The sequence below is a fragment of the Homo sapiens genome, chromosome 12 (assembly GCF_000001405.40).
Source record: "Homo sapiens chromosome 12, GRCh38.p14 Primary Assembly".
Taxonomy (NCBI): Eukaryota; Metazoa; Chordata; class Mammalia; order Primates; family Hominidae; genus Homo; species Homo sapiens.
The window spans coordinates 49560511-49585932 of record NC_000012.12 but is presented as its reverse complement, the minus strand read 5'-3'; the positions used below and the strand labels follow the sequence as shown (position 1 = coordinate 49585932).

At 48.8% G+C, this 25422-nt stretch overlaps 2 protein-coding genes across 13 annotated transcripts in view, besides 4 other annotated features; both read left to right on the top strand.

Annotated features, from left to right (window-relative positions):
• The window catches only part of FAM186B (family with sequence similarity 186 member B), a 39886-nt gene extending 36826 nt beyond the window's left edge, over nucleotides 1-3060 (top strand). For 4 of the 6 annotated variants that reach the window (NR_027450.2, XM_011538797.4, XM_006719626.3 and 1 more), the window contains one exon: nucleotides 2824-3060. Coding sequence is in view for 3 of the 6 variants with exons in the window: in XM_006719626.3 (XP_006719689.1) it covers nucleotides 2824-2905 (82 nt within the window). In the remaining 3 variants the exon portion in view is untranslated. Of the gene's footprint in view, nucleotides 1-1318; nucleotides 1656-2823 lie in introns of those variants that run through there. The other 2 variants (XM_006719627.4, XM_011538796.3) reach the window with 1 other exon arrangement.
• Nucleotides 3478-3527: an enhancer, noted in NCBI's record as "active region_6319". NCBI's record gives its function as "activates an Ori minimal core promoter by ATAC-STARR-seq in GM12878 lymphoblastoid cells {active_cell/tissue: GM12878}" and the evidence as "EXISTENCE:reporter gene assay evidence [ECO:0000049][PMID:35858748]".
• Nucleotides 3628-3677: an enhancer, noted in NCBI's record as "active region_6318". NCBI's record gives its function as "activates an Ori minimal core promoter by ATAC-STARR-seq in GM12878 lymphoblastoid cells {active_cell/tissue: GM12878}" and the evidence as "EXISTENCE:reporter gene assay evidence [ECO:0000049][PMID:35858748]".
• Nucleotides 17292-17341: an enhancer, noted in NCBI's record as "active region_6317". NCBI's record gives its function as "activates an Ori minimal core promoter by ATAC-STARR-seq in GM12878 lymphoblastoid cells {active_cell/tissue: GM12878}" and the evidence as "EXISTENCE:reporter gene assay evidence [ECO:0000049][PMID:35858748]".
• Nucleotides 17692-18495: an enhancer, noted in NCBI's record as "H3K27ac hESC enhancer chr12:49961221-49962024 (GRCh37/hg19 assembly coordinates)". NCBI's record gives its function as "activates a minimal SCP1, AML or CMV promoter by ChIP-STARR-seq in naive H9 embryonic stem cells {active_cell/tissue: H9 hESC(naive)}" and the evidence as "EXISTENCE:reporter gene assay evidence [ECO:0000049][PMID:30033119]".
• Nucleotides 17791-25422, top strand: part of MCRS1 (microspherule protein 1) — a 9844-nt gene continuing 2212 nt past the window's right edge. For 2 of the 7 annotated variants that reach the window (XM_011537760.4, XM_047428083.1), the window contains exons 1-7: nucleotides 17791-17885; nucleotides 19718-19856; nucleotides 20266-20404; nucleotides 21038-21196; nucleotides 21343-21452; nucleotides 22387-22495; nucleotides 22794-22932. In XM_011537760.4, the coding sequence (XP_011536062.2) occupies nucleotides 19747-19856; nucleotides 20266-20404; nucleotides 21038-21196; nucleotides 21343-21452; nucleotides 22387-22495; nucleotides 22794-22932 (766 nt within the window). In that variant the 5' untranslated portion in view covers nucleotides 17791-17885; nucleotides 19718-19746. Of the gene's footprint in view, nucleotides 17886-18183; nucleotides 18287-19091; nucleotides 19543-19717; nucleotides 19857-20265; nucleotides 20405-21037; nucleotides 21197-21342; nucleotides 21453-22386; nucleotides 22496-22793; nucleotides 22933-25422 lie in introns of those variants that run through there. The other 5 variants (XM_005268572.3, XM_017018690.2, NM_006337.5 and 2 more) reach the window with 5 other exon arrangements.

Here is a 25422-nt window from a genome sequence, read left to right as displayed (position 1 = left end):
AACAAAAGTTCTCTGTCCCTGCCCAGGCTGCTACCTCAGGGTGGTGGCCGTGCTGCCTCCTTTGGGCGTGCCCTCCTGGACATTGCTCCACTCCCTGAAGTGCACCTTTTCTCGGGCCACCTGCTCCTGGCCCACCATGGATCCTCACATCCACCTGCTGCGTGGTGCTGGCTCACTCACCTCTTTGTGGTCCTGCCGACCTCACCGGCTCCCCTGGCCATGCTGTCTGGCGCACAGCCCCATCTGGGTTCATAACTAGGCCTGACCTCATGTCCCATTCTCCTGGTCTGCCTAGCACTGACGGCCTGTTCATCTCTGAGCCCACTGGGGCGTCCTCTCGGCATGTGAGGGAGGGCTGCTCATCTTCCCTCCATGGTTTGAGATGCTAGAAGATTGCATCCCTCAAAACCCAGCAGCCCCCCTTCTCTGAGATTTTTTTCAGCTTTGTCTTACAAGCATGTCCCCTGGGTTCTCTGTCTGACAGGTGGGAGAGCTGTGTGTGTCTGCAGATCCCAAATGCTTTCTGTAGCTGGACAATCTTAGCCTTGACTCTGAGTGCTATGCCCTCCCCTTGCTCAGGGTCTGTTCCTGCACAGCTAAAAACACGCTGGTACAGGCCGGGCATAGTGGCTCACGCCTGTAATCCCAGCACTTTGAGAGGCCGAGGTGGGCAGATCACGAGGTCAGGAGATTGAGACCATCCTGGCTAACATGGTGAAACCCCATCTCTACTAAAAATACAAAAAATTAGCCGGGCATGGTGGCGGGCGCCTGTAGTCCCAGCTACTCAGGAGGCTGAGGCAGGAGAGTGGTGTGAACGCAGGAGGCAGAGCTTGCAGTGAGCCAAGATTGCGCCACTGCACTCCAGCCTGGGGACACAGCGAGACTCCATCTTAAAAAACAAAACAAAACGAAACAAAAAACCATGCTGGTACACGTGTACACCGAGATGCACATGAACAGACTCACACAGGCATCTAACATGCTGGAGACGACAGGAGGGCTTACAATGCGGCCTCTGGGAAAGAGACTAGATGGGGCTAGGGCTGAGGAAACATGGATGGGTGGGAAGGAGCAAAGAATGAGGGGAGGGAAGAGGAAGTCTTTTGTGAGGTCAGGCAAAAGGCAGATTCGCAGGAAGAGAAGCAGAGCCCCTGGGACTTGGGAGGACGTTGTGTTGAGCAGTTCTGTGTCCAGGCTGAGTCTGGGCTCAGCTCTGGACTTGGCTCTGGGAAGTGCTCAGGTGTGGGATGGCACTCACATGGCCTGGGCCTTGTCTCAGTTACTCCCCCACCTGTAACTCTACTAACTCTTGCAGCGCCTCAGCGAACCAAAGGAAGGAATGCCAGGAACCTACAAATGAATCCGCTTAGCTTGTTCAAAAAAAGTCAAGCGAGTCACTCCCTGGAACCCAAATAAGCCAGAAGGATCAAGACAGCCCCAGTCTCCACTGCATCCCTCAGCCAGTGATTCTCAACCTTCTGAGGGACGGAAACCCACAGAGAACTTGGTCAAAATGCAGGTTCCCAGCTGGTGCTTTTAAAGAAACCCTCTGGGGGTTGCTGAGTACTCCTAGAACTTTGAGAAACACTGCTTCCCTCCTGCAGTCCCCAAACTCTACATTTTAATAAAATAGAGGTTGGTTTATTTTAAAATTCTGTCTCATTGCTGAAACCCACACCTCCTCAACTCAGTTTTAGAACCCTCTGAGTGTTGTCTGTGTCCTTTGGGAGCAAACATGCCGAGATAGCTGTGATTGGCACCTGGCACTTAGTAGGTGTAACTCTTCATTTAATCAAAATATGGACAGATATGTCACTGACATGCCAGTGATCTGCATGAAAGCTCAGAAGGTGAGAACAAAAGGAGATACCAAATACAGACCAGAGCCAGGTGTCATAAGGTGGGAGGCAAAGGTGAGCGTGTCTCTGAGGACAAAGGTGGAAGACATGGAGACATGAGGTTCAAATATAGACGGTGTGGGCTAAGGAGGCCGTCTCTGGCAAGCGTCTGTCAGTTCAGTTAAGACACTAATTCGGTTAGTTCAATCAGCTCACGAGCACCTACACACCCTCCTCTTGACACACAGCTGCTTGCCTGGTCCCTGCTGAGTCTCCCCCACCCTGTCCTTCTCCACTCACCAGCACCCTTGGCCTAGGGAACAGGCATACAAATAGGAAATTACCCCATCCTCAGAGAACCCATGTCCAGCGGTTCTCTTCCTCAGGAATGGCGCCCATCCTTGCTTCCAGCCTAAGGCTGAGACTCCAGAAAGCTGAGGAGGATGTGGGGTGTGAACAGCTGGTTCTGTGGATGATGCCAGGAGTAGGATTTGTTTTCTGAGTCGCAGCTTAAGATATCGCGAGGATGCCTAGTGTGGGAGGAAGGGGAGTTGGCATCATGATGCAGGACACATGCACAGCACAGCTGTGCTGGCCCTGGGCTGTTTCCAGCCTCTCGGGTCCCAGGCTCTTTCTTTTCTGGAGGCCTCACCCCAATGATACTTAACATCTTAAAATGCCCTCACACTAAATGTATCGCTCTAAATAATTAGAAAGCATTTTTATAACCTTGCTTCAGAAATTAACTGGCTATGAGTAAGTTATTTAATGTGTACTTAGCTGTGAGTGACATCTCAGCAATCAGAATGCACAGAGAAGAAATTGAACAAGTTTTATAAATGTAATGAGACTATTTTGAATATTAAATTTGACAGTGAATGAAACTGACAATATTATGTTTTATAAAGATTTCATACTATTCATACATTCTTTGTTTTTATATTTTGGCACCCATATTTTCAAAGGTTTCATGTTTTCACAGGCTCTTGGCACTGTGCTTAAGGGGCCTGGTGGCTGAACTTGCTCTGGTGATGGAGGACTTTGACCTTCTGCACGTCCTCTAGCGAGCTCTCTGGCAAGCATGCAGAGTGTCTGACATTCTTCTCCTGCTTTGGTAACAATTTCATCTTCTTAAAGGCAAAGAAAGCCTGCACGGGCCAAGCTGTGAAGCCAAGAGGGTTGGAAGACAAATATATATGTGTGTGTATCTTTGTGTATATATGTGTGTGTATGTATACGTTTGTGTATATATGTATGTATTTATGTAGCTGTGGATGTATTTATGTATGTATGTGCACATGTGTGTATATGTGTATGTGTGTGTATAAATGTGTATGTGTGTATACATGTATGTGTATGCATGTGTATATATGTGTAAGTGTGTGTGTGTGTGTGTGTGTCGGGTGTTTTTCTAGTGATGAGGTTCACTGATACTATACAGGAGCCTAATTTTTTTTAAGAGCAAAGTTGACATTTCTGGTCAATGTATTGCTTCTACCCCCAAAAAATTCAGGGAAGACAAGGCATGGGAAGGAGTATTTTTTTGAGCATTGCTTCAAGCCATATTCGGGGACTGGCCATAGCTCTGCTTGCATGGCCCACAGCCTCAGATGAGGAACCAAAACAAATGTGGAAGATGACATGGGAGAAGGGTCTACTCTGGCCTTGACTAACTGCAGAGGCATACAGTGGAAAGGAGAAAACCCCTTCAAAAACAACCCAGGCATAGAGCCAGGGAGGGGAAAGCCATGCATGGTCTGAAAAGTCAGAAAACAGATGAGCATGATTCTATGATCAGAGGAGTCACCTTCTCAAGAAGAGAAGATGTGTATGGCTGGGATGCTGTTAACTATCAAGTGAGGGCTTTGAAGGCAGGAATTTGAAGGTAGCTACATCTAACATGTTACAGGATCTGCCTCTAACAGGTGGGCAACATGCAGGAACAGACGTGGAATTTGAGTAGAGAGAGGGAATTGTACAAAAGAAATGGAAACTTGAAGATGCCAGAAATGAAAATCTTGCTGGGTGCAGTGGCTCACGCCTGTAATCCTAGCACTTTGGGAGGCCAAGGTGGGCGGATCATGAGGTCAAGAGATCGAGACAATCCTGGCCAACACGGTGAAACCCCGTCTCTACTAAAAACACAAAAATTAGCTGGCCATGGTGGCACGTGCCTGTAGTCCCAGCTACTTGGGGGGCTGAGGCAGGAAAATTGCTTGAACCCAGGAGGTGGAGGTTGCAGTAAGTTGAGATTGTGCCACTGCACTCCAGCCTGGTGACAGAGTGAGACTCTGTCTCAAAAAAAAAAAAGAAAAGAAAAGAAAAGAAAATCTTAACATCAGAGATATAGAAATCCTTTGGCAGGTTTATCAGCCAACTAGACAAAAGCAAGGCAAAAAAATATGTGAATTGAGGCAAGATCAATAGAAATTAGCCAACTATAACACAGAGAGAGTAAAAACAAAGCAACAAATCAGCAACCCCCAAACCAAACACCCAAGATGTGTGGGACAATACCAATGGTTTCACACACATGTGATCAAAGTCCCAGAAAAAGGGAGAAGAAATATTTAACAAGCTACTTGAAGAGATAATCACTGAGAATTTCCAAAATTAAAGACAAGAAGCCACAGATCCAAGGAGCTCAGAGAACTGAAGCAAGATAAATACAAAGGAAAACATACCTCAGCATATCATAGTCAAACCTGAAACCAAAGATGAGAGAACTTGAAAGCAGCCAGAAAGAAAAAGTTACCCAGTAAAGTAAAAAATAAAGCAGTCTTCTCAGGCAGTCTTGTAAGTTATGGGTCCACTAGATAACCCAGGAGCCTTCTAGAATATTCCTCCATTTGGGGGCAATTAGCTTAAGCAGGTAACATCCCAGCCAATTAGCCAATTAGGAGGCTGAGTGGCCTCCCATGCTCCAGTTCTACATATCCTGGCCCTGGCTCTTGTGTCACACCCTGCCCCTGCTCTCTGCACACCCTGGGAGGCCCTGCGCTGGCTGGTGGCTTCATCACCCCTCAAACACTATTTATTGCCTCTGAGCTGGGAGGAAGCTGAGCAGGTGGAGGCTGGATACACTAGTCACTGACCTCAGTGACCCTTGAGGCAGGCCCTGGGGTCTGACTGCTGCCTCACATTCTTTCCCAGGAGCTGAGCAGCCTGGAACAACCAAAGCCTGAGTCCAGCTAGTGCACCAGTCAGGGCGCTGCCACAGAGTTCACTGCCACAGGCAGCAGTGCTGTGAGCGGGCAGCTGCCAATGATTCAGGCCACCACTGGTCAAGAAGATTCGGTTTCCTCTCTCATCACCCCCAGGCTGTCTGTTAGGCGCCCCGTATCCTCACTCTCTGGAAGAGAGGAGAAGCCTTTCCTGCAGAAGCCACAAGGAGGCAGCAAAGTGCTTGTCTAAGGGCCTCAGCTGGCCTGGAGAGGGGCCGGGAATTCAAGAATTAGAAGGGAGGGAACTGCGGGAAGACTGACAGGAGGGGAGCTGGTGAGTTCCTGGGAAGGTGCAGGTGGAGCGTGGACAGCAAGTGCAGCAGAGGGAGAAGGCATTCCTGACCCATGCTGGGACACGGGGATCCTGCAGAGGACTCATGGTTGTGGAGTCTGCTCTCCCTTGGACTGGGGACCCTTCCTCCTCGCTTGATCGCCTACCCCCAGCAGGTCCTCTGCTCTGTATGGCACAGATCTATCCCTGCAAATGACCCTTTGGGCAGCAGTTTTTAGGAGCTCTGCCAGGAGGCCCTTCCCATGGACTTCCTCAAGCATGCAGCATGGCCCCATTGATTCATTTACTCATTCATTCATTCAACAAGTACCTATTAGGCACCTAACATGAGGCAGTGTTCTAGGTGTTAGGGATACTGTAGTGAGTAAAACAGATTTTTAAAAAGTGCTTTCATGGCCAGGTGCAGTGGCTCACGCCTGTAATCCCAGCACTTTCGGAGGCCGAAGCGGGCACATCATAAGGTCAGGAAATCGAGACCATCCTGGCTAACATGGTGAAACCCCATCTCCACTAAAAATAAAAAAAATTAGCCGGGCGTGGTGGCGGGCGCCTGTAGTCCCAGCTACTCGGGAGGCTGAGGCAGGAGAATGGCATGAACCCGGGAGGCGGAGGTTGTGTGAGCCATGATCGTGCCACTGCACTCCAGCCTGGGCGACTGAGCGAGACTCCATCTCAAAAAACAAACAAACAAACAAAAAACTGCTTTCACAAAGCTTACATTCTATGGGGGGAAAAGACAAGAAACAAAAATAAGTAGTAAAATGCACAGTTATGTCAGAACGTAAAAGGTTCCATGGAGAAACACAAATTTCAAGAGGGATAAGGCAGCAGAGTGCAGGGGAGTGGGTGTTACCATTTAAAGCAGAGAGGGCATGGCAGGACGTTTCAGTGAAGACTTGAAGCAGGTGAGGAGGTGAGCTGCGGGAAGGGCGTGCCAGGCAGGGAGAGCAGGCTGAGGTGAGAGCCTGCCTGGCACACTCAGGGGGCAGCAAGGTGCCCGGGGTACCTGGTGTGGGTGAGTGGGAGGGTGGGAGGAGCCACGTTGCAGAGGCCACTGGGAGGCCGGTCACACAAGGCCTTGTAGGCCACCGTAAGGACCTCTGTTCACCCGGAATGCAATGGGAGCCATTGCAGAATTCTAAGCAGAGAAGTGACATCATGTGCCCTTCAATTCAAGAGCATCGTCTGGCTGCAACCATGAGCATAGACTGGGAGCAGGGCGCAGGGAGACCAGCTGGAAGCTGTTTCAATTCCCACCCCATTCAGAAAGCCTAGTCATGAAGGCCGGACGTGGTGGCTCACGCCTGTAATCCCAGCACTTTGGGAGGCCGCGGTGGGTGGATCACCTGAGATTGAGTTTGAGACCAGCCTGGCCAACATGGTGAAACCCTGTCTCTACTAAAAAATACAAAACTTAGTCAGGCATGGTGGCAGGCACCTGTAATCCCAGCTTCTCAGGAGGCTGAGGCAGGAGAATCGCTTGAATTTGGGAAGTGGAGATTCAAGTGAGCCGAGATCATTGCACTCCAGCCGGAGAGACAAGAGTGAGACTCTGTCTCAAAAAAAAAAAAAAAATGCTTAGTCAATGAGCTCAGATGGCCCTTCCACCACGAAGCTTCCACTAATCCTCCCTAAGCCTCCCCTTCTCCTGGGGACGGGCTCTCCTGCCTTTGTGCGTGGATCTCTTCCAGCATTGGTCCATCTTGCCTTTGTTCTGGGATTATCGGTGAGCCTGTCCTCAACCCCACTAGACCTGAAACTCTTTAAGACGGATGCCCAGTTGCTCTCACAGCTGTAGCTTCCCCTCTACCCGGACCTTCAGAGGGCCATGCACACAGTAGAAACCAAGTCAAGCTTTCCCTAAGGAGTAAGTGCTCCCATCCCTCCTTGGCTGCCTCTGAGGCTTCTTCCGGGCTGTGTTTCTGCCTGGAGCACCACAATCGTTGTATTAAATGCTTGGCCACCATGACAGCCCTAGTGCCTTCTGTGAGCTGCATGTCACCGTCCCTCAGCACAGCCAGGTTTACAGGACACAGCTTGTCACCGGCCCATAAGGCAGCCTGTCAGCACTGGCAGGAAGCACACACAAACCAGTGAGTTTGCACAATCAGTGGCCTCTCTGGAGGCTCCCGAGGGCAATTAAATGTGTAATTTTTCATTTATTGATTCCTTAAACATTTATTGAGCACCTACTGTGGTGCCATGATCTGTATTAGGCAGCAGGGGCACGGAAGTGAGTAAAACTCATTTCCCAGGAGCCTACTGCAAACACAGGGTGCTGACTGGATGCAAAGCACTGGCACAGTTACAGAAATAAATTCAAGTATTGTCCTGAACTCCCGAGGACTCACAATCTACCCACCACTCCTTCAGCAATTGTACTGTGCCAAGTGCTGGAGTTGGCGATGAAAACAGAGGGGTCATGGCAAGCCTCGCAGGGTGACGCTTGAGTAGAGACTTGAAAAGGTGGGGAGGCAAGTCATGGGGGAATGGTGACATTGGGACAGACTCCCCTCACACGCCAGTGTGGAGAAAGAGTAGTAACTGGTAGGGAGCTAGTGTGGGAATGCAAGACAAAGTGCAACAGAGAATGGGGAAGACATATGGCAGTGAAGGTCTGGGGAGGCCTTTGGGACTAAGTGGGATCTCCATGAAATGTGGAAGGATGGGTGGAACTATTGCAGGGGGCGGGAGGCAGGAAATCCAAGGGAAAAGGACACTGTAAGCACAGAGCATGTTCATGTGGCAGCAAGCGGCCAGCCTGGGTGTAGTTCCACACCACGTGTTGTAGGAGATAAGCCCAGCTGGGGCTGGATGTGGATGGGCTTGAAGACCAACCAGAGGATGCTCCTCTGTAGGCAGTGGAGAGCCACTGATGACAACGTGGAGAATTTAAAGAAGAATGGAGACAGGGAGAGCAAGGAGAGGAGCAGGTGTGGAGGTGTGCACAACAGTCATGTAAAGAACCAGCTACAACTGTAGTCACTCACTCATGCCTTTGTTTGTCCACAGACATAGTTATTATGCACAAAACCTCATGCCGATTGAAGGTGGGATAAGACAGATGGGGAGAAAACAAAGAAAAATAAAACCCAGTTTATGTGGAGGATTTTAAATCAAGGGAGAGACAGACACCAGTAAAACCCGAGCACATTCTTCCTTGAGGTCCGTGATATGATGCTCTTCTTGGTTTCCCACCCACGTTCCCCACACTCCTCCAGCTCCCGCGGATTTTCATTCTCTTCTGCCTGTGTTCCCTAGGGGCTGCTCCAGTGCCTGGACTCTCCTCTCATGCCACAGGACATCCCAACATGACTTCAGATTGCCCTATTGCCTCAAACATCAGCTGTATGATGAAGATTCCCAAATCCATCCCCAATTCCAATCTCTCCTCTGAGTCATAGAGCTGTATATGCAAACGCTCAACTGCACATCCCAACTGGCTGCCCACTGGCACCTCCAACTCAATCAATGCAAATGAAACTCATCACCTTTCCTTCTCATCCCCAACCCTGCAGCTCCACTTGTGCCTCTGGTCTCAATGCATATCTGCCAGCCTCATCCACTGCCAAAGCCTGAACTGGGCATCATAGGTGCCTGAGCTCCTGCACCCATTCATGCAATCTCTCACCAAGCCCTGTCATCGTCTACATCTTTTGTGTCTTCCCCTCAGTGACTACCCTAAATTGGGCCACCAACTAATCTCCCTGGCTTCTGTTTTACTCTTTCAATCTATGCTCCATACTAAGCCAGAGATATCTAAAATGCTGGTCTAATTCCACACTTCTGCTTAAAAATTCATTAATGGCTCTTCATTCTTCTCAGGATAAAGTCCAATCATGGCCTATAAAGATTTTTGTGACAGCTCTTCAGCCTGGCTGTATGATATTCCATTGTATGCATGTGCAATGATTTATTTAATCAGTCCTCTAGTGAGAGATGTGTGAGTTGGTTTTTGCTAAACTTGCTAATATGAACAATGCTCCAGCTGATAACTGTTTTCTTTTTTTTTTCTTTTTAAGAGAGGCGGTCTCACTTTGTCCCATGCTGCAGTGCAGTGGTATGATCATAGCTCACTGCTGCCTTGAACTCCTGGGCTCAAGAGATCCTCCCACCTCACCCTCCCAAGTGGCTGGGACTACTGCACCCAGCTAATTTTTTAATTTTCATTTTTTTGTAGAGACGAGGTCTCGCCACTTTGCCCAGGCTGGTCTTGAACTCCTGGGCTTAAGCAGTCCTACCACCTTGGCCTCCCTAAGTGCTAGGATTACAGGTGTGAGCCACCACACCTGGCTGATAATTTTATATGTAATTTATTTTGCATATGTGAAAGTACATTGGATCAGAAATTCTATGCATTTGTAATTCTGACAAGTCTTAATGAATTACAGTTCTAACAGCAACACGAGAGTGCTTATTACCCTACAACCACGCCAAGGCTAAGTGTCCAACATCTAGATTTTTTGCCAATCAGTGGGTGAAAAATTATACCAAATGTAGTTTCAATTGTCTTGTGAGGTTGAGTATTTTTTCATGTTTAAGAGATGTTTATCTTTCCATTAACCATCCCATTTTCTTATTGAATTTGCTATTTTTCATATTGATTTGTAGAGATTTTGTACATATTAAGCAAATTAGCCCCTCTGACTATGATACGGGTTGCAAATATTTTCCCTACTTTGCCATTCGTCTTTGTTTATGGTGTTTTTCACTCTGTAGAAATTATAGATTTTTATGTTGACAGAATTTGTCTTTTTTTAAAGCTATGAGAAAATGTGTGCCATTCTAGAAAACACTTTCTCTACTGTGACATTATAAATTTGTGGTTTTACTCTTTTACATTTTTTTTTTTTATTCGGAAATGGAGTCTCACTCTGTCATCCAGGCTGGAGTGCAGTTGCACAATCTCAGCTCACTGCAACCTCTGTCTCCCAAGTTCAAGCAATTCTCCTGCCTCAGCCTCCCGAGTAGCTGGGATTACAGGTGCCTGCCAACACGCCTGGCTAATTTATTGTATGTTTAGTAGAGACGGGATTTCACTATGTTGACCAGGCTGGTCTCAAACTCCTGACCTCGAGTGATCTGCCTGCCTCGGCCTCCCAAAGTGCTGGGGTTACAGGCATGAGCCACCAAGCCTGGCCTCTTACATTTATTTAAACATAATTGTTTCATATGGATTTATTTTAGTGTAAGAACTGAAAAGAGACACTACATTATTTTTCTCCAGGTGACTACACAATTGTCTCAGTGCTACTTAGTATATCATCCATCTTTTCCCTACTGACAGACAATGCCATCTTTATCATTTACTGAACTTTTTAATGCCTCAGGTCTACTTCTGGACTATTATGTTCTCTTTGTTTTTTTTTGAAATGGAGTCTCAGTCTATCACCCAGGGTGGAGGGCAGTGGCGCCATCTCGGCTCACTGCAACCTCTGCCTCCCAGGTTCAAGCGATTCTCCTGCCTCAGCCTTCTGAGTAGCTGGGATTACAGGTGCACACCACCATGCCAGGCTAATTTTTGTATTTTTTTAGTAGGGACAGGGTTTCACCATGTTTTCCAGGCTAGTCTCGAACTCTTGGCCTCAGGTGATCTGCCCAACTTGGCCTCCCAAAGTGCTGGGATTACAGGCATGAACCACCACGCCCAGCCTATTATGTTCTCCTGATCAAAATGTTTATGCGTGTGCTAGTGTCCTCTGGATTTTACTTTTTAACTATTGTATTAATATGTGGTATAGTGCTTCTCCTCTCATTAACCTTACTTTTCAAAATGTTCTCATGGCTATTCTTTTTGTTTTGGTTGGTTGTTTTTCATTCTGAGGATGCTACTGAAGCAACATGGTTATCCCTGATGCAAAAATTTCCATATGAATTTATATTCAGGTTGCGTACTCTGTTGGTATTTTTATTAGATCTGTGTTAAATTTATAGATTAATTTATGGAGAGCTGACATCTTTATAATAGTGAGTCTTTCTACCCAAAAATAGAATATGCCTTCCTATTTATTCAAACTTCCTTTGGTGGCATTTTAGTTTTGAGTACTGATATGGTTTGGCTCTGTGTCCCCACCCAAATCTCATCTTGAATGGTAATCCCCATAATCCCCACATGTCCAGGGAGGGACCTGGTGGGAGGTGATTGGATCATAGGGGCAGTTTCCCCCATGCTGTTCTCGTAATAGTGACTTTTCACAAGATCTGATGGTTATCTAAGTGTTCCTCTTTCACACTCATTCTCTCTCTCGTCACCTTGTGAAGAAGTTGCCTGCTTTACCTCGCCTTCTGCCATGAATGTAAGTTTCCTGAGGCCTCCCCAGCCAAGCGGAACTGTGAGTCAATTAAACCTCTTTCCTTTATAAATTACCAGTCTCTGGTATTATCTTTACAGCAGTGTGAGAACAGACTAATGTAGGTACCTAGATCTAGCACATTTATTGTGCTTGGTTTACTGTGTTGTTGCTGTTGTAAACAATACAGTCTATTCTCTTATATTCTCAAACAGGCGGTTTTAAAAAAAATACTCATTTCTACCCATTTTCCTAAAATATCTTATTTGTATTAGTTTTTCAGTTGATATCCTTGGATTTTTCATGTACGCTATCATATCATATATATTTTAACTCTTCTAGTTTTTATATCTCATTCTCTTCTTTAATTGCCTAAGCCAGTACTCCCAAAGGAAAATTAAATAAAAAGAGTCATGGGGCCATCCTTGTAACATACCTAATTAATCAGAATAATCCAGATTTCTTCAGTGAGCATGATGCTGGCCTTTGGAGTAAAATGTGTTTATCATGTTACAGAGGCTAGAGGTTTCATACAGTTTTGTCTGTGATTCTCTTACCTAGGGGGTTGATATCTCAGAGGGTTTCAATCTGTGCATGAGAATCTTCCTTTGCAGATAGTTTCTTTTCCCTTACAGAAACAAACAAACAAACAAACAAACAAAACACAGTATACAGATCTCAAGTAGAGTGTACGCTGACTTAAATTGCATTGTGAATCCCAAGGTAACTTCGTATTGGTCAATAGCTTTATTTGATTTGACTTCCTAGGAAGATAAAATACTTGAGCCAACAGCAGCAAGATCCTGTGTCCTCTGACTGGGTCCCAGGAGGTAGCTGCCCTAGCTAAGACAGCAACTAGTCCTGCTCTAGTGGACAAGAGTGGGGAGGGGCTGTGCTATCAAAGTCTGGGTCCTAGAGTCAGACCACCTGAAAGGAGGCACTCAGACCTAAGCCCTAAGAGCAGTAACAACAGCTTACATTTTTTGAACACTTGCTATATACCACCTGTGTGTTTCAGTAGTAAGCGATTTACTCCTCACAACCATCCTAATGAAGTGGGGACTATTATTTCCCCACAGATGATGAAACTGGGGCACAGTAATGTAACTTGCTCAAAGTCATAAGTTGATAGGTGATAGAGGCAGTTTCAAACTACGTACTTTGGCTCCAGAGCCTATGTTCTTTTTGATTGTTTAGTTCTACATACTCACAGAGCCTATATTTTTGGAGGGTTTTTTTTGTTTGTTTGTTTGTTTGTTTTGAGATAGGGTCTCACTCTGTCGCCCAGGCTGGAGTGCAGTGGTGCGATCATGGCTCACTGCAGCCTTGACCTCTACAGGCTCAAGCAGTCCTCCTACCTCAGCCTCCCAAATAGCTGGAACCACAGGTGTGTGTCACCACACCTGGCTAATTTTTGTATTTTTAGTAGAGAAGGGGTTTTGCCATGTTGCCCAGGCTGGTCCTGAACTCCTAAGGTCAAGTGATCTGCCCGCCTCGGCCTCCCACCATGCTGGGATTATAGGCGTGAGCTCCCAGGTCTGGTCAGAGCCTATGTTCTTAACCACTGTGTTCTAATCCCCCAGAAGATGGAGCCTGGGGCCCTGAGCAAAGTTCCAGGAGGAACCATGAATGTGGCCTCCATTGTAAACCACATCAGCCCCAGGGAAAGAGTGCCTGACTATGAAAGACTACTCTAGAGCAGGGGTCCCCAACATGTACTGGGCTGTGGCCTGTTGGGAACTGGGCTGCACAGCAAGAGGTTAGCAGCAGGCGAGTGAGCATTACCACCTGAGCTCTGCACTCCGCCTCCTGTCAGATCAGCGGTGGCATTAGATTCTCATAGGAGGGAGAAACCTATTGTGAACTGCACATGCGAGTGATCTAGGTTGCACCATCCTTATGAGAATCTAATGCCTGATGATCTGAGGTGGAACAGTTTCATCCTGAAACCATGTTCCCCAACCCCCTGTCTGTGGAAAAATTGTATTCCACAAAACCAGTCCCTGGTGCCAAAATGCTTGGGGACCACTGTTCTAGAGCCAGGAAGAGTTAACTGGAAGCTGGATAATGGGTGCCATTGCTAGCTTTTCTTTTTATCCACATTCTTCTTTTGGTTTATTTTCTTGCCCCTCTTCCTCTGCCTTGCCCTAAATGTTGGCATGTCCCATGCAATGGTCTTGAGCCCTCCTCATTCTCTTATCCACACTCTCTCCTTAAGCATCCACATCCAGATCTTCCTGATGATGACTCCCCAGTGGATATCTCCAGTCCAGGCCTCTTCCCTGACCCAACTAACGTGCCCACCTCTCTATTCTACAGCACCACCAAGATGCCTTACAGGCACCTCAAACTTAACATGTCTAAAACAGAACTTTTTTTCTGCCCCTGTACAAACCTGCTCCTCCCACAGACTTCTCTGCAGTCAATTTACATAAGATACTTATTCAATAAATATTTATTAAGCACCTACTATAGCAGTGAACAAAATAGACAAAAACCCTGCCTTCCTAAAGCTTACATTCTACTACTGGAAAACCTATAGTAAACAGAAAAAAATAAGTAAATTAGAAGATAATAAGGGCTAAGGAGAAAGCCAAGAAGAGGTACAGTGAGCAGGGGATGAGGACTGAAATTTTTGAAAGAGCAAGTGAGAAGAGCAGGAGGTGAAGTCAGAGAAGCAACAGGGGGTGGGCCATGAGCTTTTATCCTGAGGAAGATGGAGGACTTTGAACAGAAGCAGGATGTGAGTAGATTGCCAATGTAATAGGAATACCCCAGCTGCTGTGAATAAACTAAAGAAGGGCAGTAAGGATGAAAGCTGGGAGACCAGTTAGGGAACTCTTGCTATAGTCCAGGTAACAGATAATGGATAATGGGGAGTTGGACCAGGAGACCGTGGAAAACTGGTAAGATAGGGTCACATTCTGGATATATTCTGAAGCAGGGGGTTCTACCATCCACCCAGGTTCTTAGGCCAAAAATCTCAGTCTCATCCTTGATTCTTCCTTTTCCCTCATATCCCATATCCAATCCATCAGCAACTCCTTGGGGTTCTATTTCCAAAATGTGCCACAGTCACAGTTCCTGTCCATCTTCACCACCCCCACATGCCAGCTAAACCACCTGGGTTTACCTCTCACCTAGATCACTGCAATACCCTTTTACCTGATCTTTCTGCTTCCTCTTTTGCCCCCTGCAATCTAGTCTTCACAAGCAGCCAGAGGGATCATTTTCAAACTTAGATCATATCACAGGATGCCCTTGCTTGTGATCCTTTAAGAGCTTTGCAATGAACCAAGAATAAAGGCCAAAATCCATACTGAGAACTACACGGGCTGGCATGGGCTGCCCTCTGATGACTCCTCTGTTCTCAACTCTTTCCCTCTTTTTATTGATCGCCCTGCTCCAGCCACACCGGGGTCCTTCCTGTTCCTCAAACTCACCAAACTCCTTCCTGCTTTGGAGCCAGAGCTATCCCCTCTGATGGGGTCGGTGTACCCCACCTTATTGTATGACTGGTTGCCTATCGACATCAAATCTCAGCTCAGTCATCACCTCTTCATAGAAGACCATCCTGAGAACTTTCATCTAGTATAGATACTATACTATATATACTAACTATAGCTAGTATAGTCCACCACGCTGTGTAAACAGAAAACACAATCTTGAGCAGGAAGCTGCCCTTTAGAAATCCCTGCATCCATACCACAAGGGTGCCTAGGTTTCTTTTTATCCAATAGTAGGGAGGATTGAGGACCAGAGGGGAAGTTTGAGTTTCCAGGTACCAAACAGGAGATGATGGTGACCACCACCTTTCCCTCGTGACACCTTGGGGGAAGGAATTACCTCAGGCAGCTGGAAGCCAAGAGTTTTCCTTTCTCCTCTTTCACTCAGGAAGTTGTGGCTCAGTGCAGTGGCTTACGCCTGTAATCCAGCACTTTGGGAGGCTGAGGCGGGTGGATTATTTGAGGCCAGGAGTTCGAGACGAGCCTGGCCAACATGGCGAAACCCCGTCTCTACTAAAAATACAAAAATAAGCCAGGCAGGTGGCAGGCACCTGTAATTTCAGCTACTTGTGAGGCTGAGGCAGGACAATCACTTGAACCCAGGAGGTGGAGGTTGCAGTGAGCCGAGATTGTGCCACTGTACTCCAGCCTGGGTGACAGAGCGAGACTCTGCCTCAAAATCAATCAATCAATAAAAAGAAGTTGTGTAGAACCTATTTTTTTTTTCATTGTAAAATATGGCCGGGCGCAGTGGCTCACACCTGTAATCCCAGCACTTTGGGAGGCTGAGGTGCGTGAATCATTTGAGGTCAGGAGTTTGAGACCATCCTGGTCAACATAGTGAAACCCCATCTCTACTAAAAACACAAAAATTATCCAGGCATGGTGGCGCACACCTGCAATCCCAGCTACTCAGGAGGCTGAGGCATGAGAATCGCTTGAACCCGGGAGGTGTAGGTTGCAGGAGCCGAGATCGCTCCACTGCACTCCAGCCTGGGTGACAGAGGAAGGCTCTGTCTCAAAAAAAATAAAACAAAATTTAAAAACCATGTATTAAAAAACTGGAAAATAATTAGAGAGAAGAATTACTACTACTACCACTTGGACATGTGTTAACATTCTGGTGCATTTCCTTCAACTGTCTTTTCCTTTGTATGTTTTTAATAGTTATCATGAATTCATATATATTTAATAACATTAATATTATTAATGTTCTGTGTAATCACTTTTTATAAAAATTATTTCAGGCCGGGTGCTGTGGCTCATGCCTGTAATCCCAGCACTTTGGGAGGCCGAGGCAGCCTGATCATGAGATCAGGAGTTCAAGACCAGCCTGGCCAACATGGTGAAAACCTGTCTCTACAAAAAAAAAAAAAAAAAAACTTAGCTGGGCATGGTGGCACGTGCCTGTAATCCTAGCTACTCGGGAGGCTGAGGCAGGAGAATTGCCTGAACCGAGACCCGGGGGCCGGAGGTTGCAGTGAGCCGAGATTGTGCCACTGCACTCCAGCCTGGGCTATGGAGCGGGACTCTGTCTCAAAAAAAAAAAATTTCATTGGTTTTCTGATATTTTCACAAGTTTACATAATATATTTAATCAAGTGCCTGTTAAAAAATAAAACACACACTCTTTCATGGGAGTTAAAATAAGTACATACTCATTAAACAAGTCCACAGAACAGTAAATGAGGTTGGTACTCTCGAAGCAGAGGGCCATAGTATACCGTCAGGGCCAAAAGGGCCAGTCTCTCATTTGACACTTGAATTCCCTAGCAATGTCCATGTTATGTGTTCTTGACACCTCTGATGGACAGCTTTGGAACTGAATCTTTCTTATTCTGAGCTGAAGTATGTCTCTCTATAGCTGCTAGACTTTAGTACCTCGCAAAGGAAGCATAAAACAGAATTCCTCTTTTAGACAACAGTCTTTCTAGTTTTCCGGAACATCTCTCACAGCCCCAAATTCCCAATTTTTCCGACAGGTTCGTTCTCCCACCCCAAGATTCCTTCCAAGGCACTCTCCTCTGAAGGTGCTTCCATTGGTTTTCTCTCTTACCTCCCGGCGACCACAAGTGGCCCCAGCCGTCCAGGTGGGGTCCGGCTGACGGGACCAAGTCGACACTACTCCTTCTCGCAGGGTCTCTTCCTTCTCAGTAAAGCGGCCCACGATCCTCCATCCGCTCCTCAGAGAGCCTCTCTGCCCTTTCTGTCCGCCACATCTCCCTGGCTACATTATCTCCCCGACTAGTGCCTAGCAGGCGGGCCTGATAGAAGTTTCTCTAAAGGCTCTGGAGGAGTCAAACAATGCATAAGGTCCTGTGCAACCCTCAGACTCCTATACCTCGTGGGAATTTGGAAGTCGAAATCCAGTCCGCGGTCCCGCCCCTCCCCGGGTCGCCTCAATTAGCCCCGCTCGGTCTCGCCCTAAGTCTCGCCTTTCCCTTTAACCAACCCCTCAAGCCGGGTTACCTCTCCGGTGCCTATAATCCTTAACGTTTCCCTATATGCTGTCCCAACTAGGAAAGCCTTTACTTTCCGCTATTGGTAAAATATTTACACTTTCCGTACCATGGCCACGCCCCCTTCACACACGTTGCCAAGACGAACCGGAAGAGATTGCCAGCCCCCTGGTTCGTTAACCGGAAGTAGACGTACCTCACGGAAGCCGGCTTTGGCCCTGCGGCTGCTACCGTCGCCGCGGAGAAATTGTTGGATCTGGCAGTCTAGGAATGGTGAGACCTCGCGGTTCGCCTCTGAGGGTTCTCAGAGGAGTTGGGGATGAAATGGAGTTTTGCAGAGTGCCGCCGGGGACGACCACCCCCCAAGTTTGGGGCCCCGCCCCAGTGGCGCCCCGAAAAGCTGCGCATGCGTGGGCCGGACCGGGTTAGAATCTGGCTCGAAGTGTTACGCATGCGCAAAGGCATGGAGACCGTGGGGTGAGAATGGGCTTGCGAGTTTACCCCCACCTCCCCAGCCACCAGCCTGTGGGTCTCAAACCAAGGCTACTTGGTGCTCTGCTTTGAGTTGCAGAGGTGACTTCATCAATGCTCCTACCCCGAGTTCTTGAGACAGACCTGGACCGATCCCCTACCTTGGGTGTGCACTCTTGGGAGAACGAGGGGCGGAGGGTCCGGTAAGGAAGGGGCACAGACCCTACCTCAGTTTGCCGGCAAGCTCGGGCCCCTTCGCCCTCTCCTCAGATGTCAAGATTCTTAGTCGTAGCCTATGGAGCGGAGAGCGACAGGCTCACCTGGGGACAGGGCTAGAACACTGAGCTAAGAGCCACCCTGGTTAGAAGTGGGGACTCACGAGAGGAGCGCCCCGAGAAAGTCCAGTACCTGGGTTCTCTAGGGGTTGTTGGGGCACAGCGTGGTTGATAATCACGCAGTTCCCAAACAGTGGTTTTTGGTTTCCACGAGATGGTATCTCATGGAAATACCACTTACTAAATCTTCAGTAAAAACCCCAAATGGAAAAGAAAAACAAAAAAAAAACGAGATGGACTGGTTGGAGTTTTGTCTCCCTTTCTTTTTTCCTGCTTTGGCCTGGGAGGGGAAGGCTGGTGCTGCTGAGCTGAGTGGACAGCTGAAGTAAAGAAAAATGTGGGCCAAAGAATCCCTTGTCTCTTGCTAGTTTATAGTCAAGGCGCTTAACCTAGGAGATACCAGTAGAATTAAAGGGTCTATGAACCCTCTAAAATAGTATGTGTTTGCACCCTTTTCTGCAGTCCATAGCTGTTATCATACTCTGAAAGGTGCCAGTGACCTTCACAAGACTGATGTCTAAGGCTATTATTGGCAGAGTGGGGCCTTATGCCTCTTTCCTGTCCTTATGTCTTCCCTAGCTTATGGGACCCTGGGGGACCTGAGCCAGTATAAGGAAGTGAGGCTGGCCAGTTGGAAATCTGAGCCTCAGGGAGCCTCATTTCTCCTTTGCAGAATCTCCTCTCAGCCTTTAAGCTCACCTGGTCAGAATCCTTGGATGAGCCTGTGGGACCGTTCCTCCTAGCCCGGTGGTTTGGAACCAGTGGCTTTGGGACTGTAAGAGGATGGACAAAGGTAGTATGAGGCCGGGACAGCTCCCCAAATGCTCGGGCGCCAAGCATCTGCTGATTCCACTCTGTGCCTGGCACGTGTGTCTTTCGGTCCTGGCTAGGCCTTGCCACCTCCCCCTGGGCCAGCACCACCCATGTACCTGTCGGCAGAGCCACAGTTGACTGACTTGCTGTTGAGCTGCTGCTCTTTAGCACGGCTGCATTTTGATGGCAGAGGGAGCAGTTATGCCCAGAGCCCAGCGTGTCGGCATCACCAGTCTGACCTGAGCACCATGTGCTGCACGACATGACACGTGGCACCGGGGGAACTGCCCAGCGTGGAAGGTCTGGGCCAGGTCTGAGCCCAGATGGGATCTGGATGGCCAAGGAACTCTACCTTAAAACCTCAAGTGTCAAGGAGGCAGGGGAGGGGCCAAGAGGGCTGGCAGGGGAAGGGGGCTGGGGAGGGGTCCCATTTGCAGAGGCTCTAGGATCTTAGGAGGCCCGAATCCACCATTTCTCTCTTGCTAGATTCTCAGGGGCTGCTAGATTCATCCCTGATGGCATCAGGCACTGCCAGCCGCTCAGAGGATGAGGAGTCACTGGCAGGGCAGAAGCGAGCCTCCTCCCAGGCCTTGGGCACCATCCCTAAACGGAGAAGCTCCTCCAGGTAGTAAGGGTTCGGAGGGCCAGGAACTGGGAAAGGGTAGAAGGTCTGTGGCGTTAAGTGCCACATGCCTCCCCATCTGTTGGGAATGGCTGCCTGAGCCCCTCTGGGGCCTTAGTATTGGCAGAGCCTTGTGCTTTTCCTGTCCCTGCTAAATCCTTCCCTGTGGGACTGAGGGCAGGGGAGGGAGATCTTAGGTCTCTGACGTGAAGTCTTTGTGGTGTGATACCCTGTCATCTCAGAGGGCTGGAGTGTAGCAGTTCCATGGCCACAACCAGGCTGTGGCGTAAAGTGAAAGCAGGCTGGAGCAGATAGCACCCTACTGGGCACCTGCTCTCTTTTGGGGGCTGGGGGTGTGTGAATGGGTACCAGGGTGGGGTAAGGAGTGTTCACTGGGCAGGACCCTTTACAGGTTCATCAAGAGGAAGAAGTTCGATGATGAGCTGGTGGAGAGCAGCCTGGCAAAATCTTCTACCCGGGCAAAGGGGGCCAGTGGGGTGGAACCAGGGCGCTGTTCGGGGAGTGAACCCTCCTCCAGTGAGAAGAAGAAGGTGAGGAATTGGGAGACTTAGGGGATGGGAGGTAGTGCCAGATTTCATGTTTCCCCAGAACCTTTGCCAGCTGCCAAGAGCCCTGCAGAGCAGGCTGGTGAGAGGACCAAGCTGCCCCAGCCCTCATCTCAGATGCCCCCCTCCTGGGAACACACCTCTCCCTACTCCCCATTTCTTGCTGCAGCCCCCACCCCCAACCCTGCCATTGCATCCTGTATCACATTCCGTGTGGGAGGCATGGAGCATGCATCTATTCTGGGAGCAGACAGCCTGTTCCCAGCATTGCAGAGTGTAAAAATAACCCCCAGGTGGCATTGCTGTGGCCCTAGACACTGCACCAGCAAGAGTGATTTCCCGGTATCCTCCCCACCCAACTTTCACTCTGGGGTCGGGGATACTGCCAGCAAAGAGAAGACCCCGTATGGTCAAGGACTATATAGAAGTAACTTGGTGGGATGGGGGTGGGTATTAGAAAGCTGAGCTCCTTTCCTGTGCTTCCTGTTGTGGGCTGGAGTTGGTGCTGAGGCTGGGGCTGGGGCTGCCGCTGCCACAGAGTATGTGAAACTCTAGTCATGAAGCGCCAGCTGACTGGATGCTGGCTTTGAGCTTGGTTTGTTCCTGTCCTCTGCCCAGGTATCCAAAGCCCCCAGCACTCCTGTGCCACCCAGCCCAGCCCCAGCCCCTGGACTCACCAAGCGTGTGAAGAAGAGTAAACAGCCACTTCAGGTGACCAAGGATCTGGGCCGCTGGAAGCCTGCAGATGACCTCCTGCTCATAAATGCTGTGTTGCAGGTAGTGCCCCCACCATAGGCTCAGTGTGCCCCTTTCCCCCAACCTCCAGTTCGCACCCCAAAATTAGCCCAACAGGGCCCTGTGGGTGGCAAAGAAGGGTTGTTCCCAGCTCCAAGGCTGGAGCAAATCCTTCTGGGGCCTTGCAGACCAACGACCTGACCTCCGTCCACCTGGGCGTGAAATTCAGCTGCCGCTTCACCCTTCGGGAGGTCCAGGAGCGTTGGTACGCCCTGCTCTACGATCCTGTCATCTCCAAGTGAGTGGGAGCTGGTTCCAGCAGTGGGGAGGTACTGGGACACCAGAATTTGGGTCCTGGAGCAGAGGGAATTGTACCAGGGCCCCAGGAGGGGTCTGGGAGGCAGGACTCCTGGAGGCTCCTTGGGGGTGATACTGAGGCCTGAGAGGCTTCAAAGAGAAGTTTCTTCCTGCCTCCAGGCAAGGGAGTCTGCAGGCAGAGGGAATAGCATGGGAGAGAAAACTAAAATGAGTGCCCGGAGTGCACTGTGTGTGTTGTGGCTTTGGGCGGAGAAAACTAAAATGAGTGCCCGGAGTGCACTGTGTGTGTTGTGGCTTTGGGCGGGTCACCTCCAGCCTTTCCACATTGACCTCCTACAGTTTCATCCTCCTAACAAGGGGGAGTCGAATAGAAGAACACCAAGCCCCCTTCTAGCTCCAGTAGCCACAGGCTTCCAAATAAACTCATACACATGCAACACACAGTTCCTCTTCCTCTGTCACTTAATGTCTTCAGAGCTTGGTTGGATGCTTAACACCCATCCTCTCCACAGACCCTGGTACCACTTAAGTTGTAGCTGCAGTTCTGATATACCAGGAAATGGGCTGGGCTCAGCTTGGAAAGGGGAGGTGGTAGGCAGTGGCTAGGGGGTGGCAGCTTTGGCCAAGTAAGGAGGAAGGACTTGGAGGGAGCAGCAGCTGGTCCAAGGCTCTGCCTCAGGAAGGACTGGGTCTGAAGGGGACATAGGGGCCTCCGTTTTCTGAGTTGGCTGTTCATTCACTTGACAAACCTGTGGAGCCACAGATTATCTGCTAAGCCTTAGGCCCTTCCTAATGAGGGCCTGGCCTCTAGGTTCTGGATCTCAAAAGCCTGTAGGTTTGGGGGAAATAGTAGGAACCCCAGATTGCTTGACACCTTTCCTTCACCCCTCCCCTCTGTCTCTTTCCGTGTCCAGGTTGGCCTGTCAGGCCATGAGGCAGCTGCACCCAGAGGCTATTGCAGCCATCCAGAGCAAGGCCCTGTTTAGCAAGGCTGAGGAGCAGCTGCTGAGCAAAGTGGGATCGGTAAGGCTGAGGGCTGGGAAGGTGGAGGATCAGGGCACAGCGAGAGCTGGACCACCTAGAAAACCACTGATGTGGAGAGCTCCCCACCCACTGTCTGGATATGTGCACATGCACACGTGTGCACATTGGCAGGGGCGTTTGTGACAGGGGCCTCAGGAAGAGCCAAGCCTGACTTCTTGGGTGACTAGCTTGCTTCTTCCAGCTCCTGGGGGATGCTGAGGTGGGAGGTAGAGATGGTAAGGCAGAGAGGCATGTGTGAAAAAGCCCAGATGCCTAGAGAATGTTTCTTGCCCTCTAGACCAGCCAGCCCACCTTGGAGACCTTCCAGGACCTGCTGCACAGACACCCTGATGCCTTCTACCTGGCCCGTACCGCGAAGGCCCTGCAGGCCCACTGGCAGCTCATGAAGCAGTATTACCTGCTGGAGGACCAGACAGGTAACGCCCCAGGAGCTGGCAGAATGGGGGTGTGTGCACGTGCATGTGTGTGTGTGTCTGAAGTACTCGACACAGCTGCCTTCAAGTGCCCTGTAACAGATTCCTCAGTGATCCCCAGTGTCTTGTTCACCTCACATTGCAAAAAAAACTACTTTCCAGAGAGAGAAAGTGGCTGGAATGGTCTTCAGCATCATGGTAAGAGTAGCCAACATTGCCTGGAATCTTTGGCAAAAGGTCCAAATAGCGGAGTTATCTACCATTTCTTGTCTTTTGTTTTTTTCATGACATATTTTATTCTCACATAAATAACACATGAATTATTATGGATAACATTCAAACATGAGCAAAATAAGAAAGTCCACTTTCCTGCCCACCCTTCAGTTTGTTTTCCACCCTAGAGGTAATAACCACTTTTTCTGAGCTTTTCCGCTCTTTGCCTCTCTCCGTTCTTCCTTCTGTCTTCCTTCTTCCTCTTCTTTTCCCACTAGGCCGTTAGTGCTGTCAAGCTGCCCTCAGGCCATTCATAAATCCCCACTGGGACTTCACACCCAGTCCATCTGTCTCTCCCTTTCCCCAAGGGCCTCACTGCTCCCTACTTCCTCTTGCCTCAACAGCACAGCACTCACTCTCCCAGTGATGGGGTAAGAAAACAGTGTGATTAAACTGGAGGAACTCCCCAGTGAGGTCTGTAATTCGGGTTCTGATTTCCATAGTACAAGCACGTTCTCACTTTCTAAAAGTACTGCCCATTGCCGTCTACATAGTTTTTCACACAGTTCAAACATGAAGCTTCATTGGTACCCATCACCTTACTACCAGGGTCCCGCAGCTTCTGCTTAGGAAAAAGGATTCCTGCAGGAGCATTTTAGGAAATCTCATCAGAAGGAGGCCCCATCTTCCGTTCCTAAGGACCTCTGATTTTAGTGGCCCGGGGGCAGCCCTCTTTATTCCTGCGGCTTCCAAAATTCTGCCTCTTCCTCAGACTCAGATATCACAGAATTCCCACAGAGAGAACAGATACTGACTGGATAACTTTTCTTTTTACTGCTAAAGCTAGTTCCTTTGTCACTATTTTAAAAGTTATGCCAGGCATGGTGGCTCACGCCTGTAATCCCAGCACTTTGGGAGGCCGAGGCACGAAGTCAGGAGTTCAAGACCAGCCTGACCAACATGGTATAACCCCGTCTCTACTAAAAATACAAAAAGTAGCCAGGCCTGGTGGCACACGCCTGTAATCCCAGCTACTCAGGAAGCTGAGGCAGGAGAATTGCTGAACCCGGGAGGCAGAGGTTGCAGTGAGCCAAGATCGCGCTACTGCACTCCAGCTGGGATGACAGAGCAAGACTCCATCTCAAAAAAAGAAAAAAGAAAAGAAAGTTATTTTGTGTAAATTTATTTGTTAACTAAAAGCCTTATCATGAAAGTTTTATTTATTCCTTCAAGAGTTTTTGTATTTCTTCAAAAGGGATTTGATTTCTCCTTTGCCGTTGAGAGCTAGGAGACCCTAGGAATAGGCAGGACACATTGCTTAGCTGTCAAGTCAGCGGAAGATGAGATTCGTGGAACTTCAGGCAGCTCTGGTGGGGAGGGACTTGATGGAGTGACTGCCCTGCTTCCCCCCATATGGTCTCACCTCAGTGGGAGGAAGAGGAGCATCTATGGCCCCTCCACACTCCCCCTCACTTCCTCAGTTGACAATTGCATGGCCACTAGCTGCTATAGAGCACACCCTACAGTCTTGGGAACGGCTGGCCTAAAAGCAGAGGTTTTCAGATTTGGGGGGCCTTTATCCCTTTAAATTTTTGTTAAGAGACAGGGTCTTTCCCTGTTGCCCAGCTGAACTTGAATTCTCAGCTCAAGAGATCCTCTTGCCTCAGGCTCCGAGTAGCTAGGTCTGTGGGCACACACCACTGTTCCCGACTTCCTTTCACATTGTGGCCAGAAAAAAAAACAGACTTTCATGAAACTGTATTTATCCTGAGCATATCTGATGGGCTCTGATGCTCATTTTCCTATTCCATTTCATTTTTTGAAAAAATGAAACTGATTTCATGACCCATTAGCAGGTCATGACCCCAGATCAAGAGACATTGGCTTAAGGTGGGCGGCGCCCACCAGCACGTACTTTCTCAGTGGAACTTGGCTGGCAGGTGCCTCCCAGCCCCTCACAGCGTGGCAGGAAATGCTGGAGAGCATATGATGTGATGGAAGGAGAGGTTGAGATTTCGAATGGAGAGAGCAGGATCTAAATCCTGCCTCCGTCCCAAACTAGGGTCACATAGTTTAACCCCTCTCCTGTGTCTGTTTCCTCATCTGTAAAATAGAGCTAATGGTAGTGCCTCCCCTGCTTAGTTCAAGGCTGTGTAATCAAAGCCCTTTGCACACCAAGAAGCCCATACAAAAGGTCAATTTTAATTTCCTTCCCTTTCTAGAACCACCTCTACCCTCAACTAAGCCTAAAGATGCTTTGTGCCAAATTAGAGCCCAGCC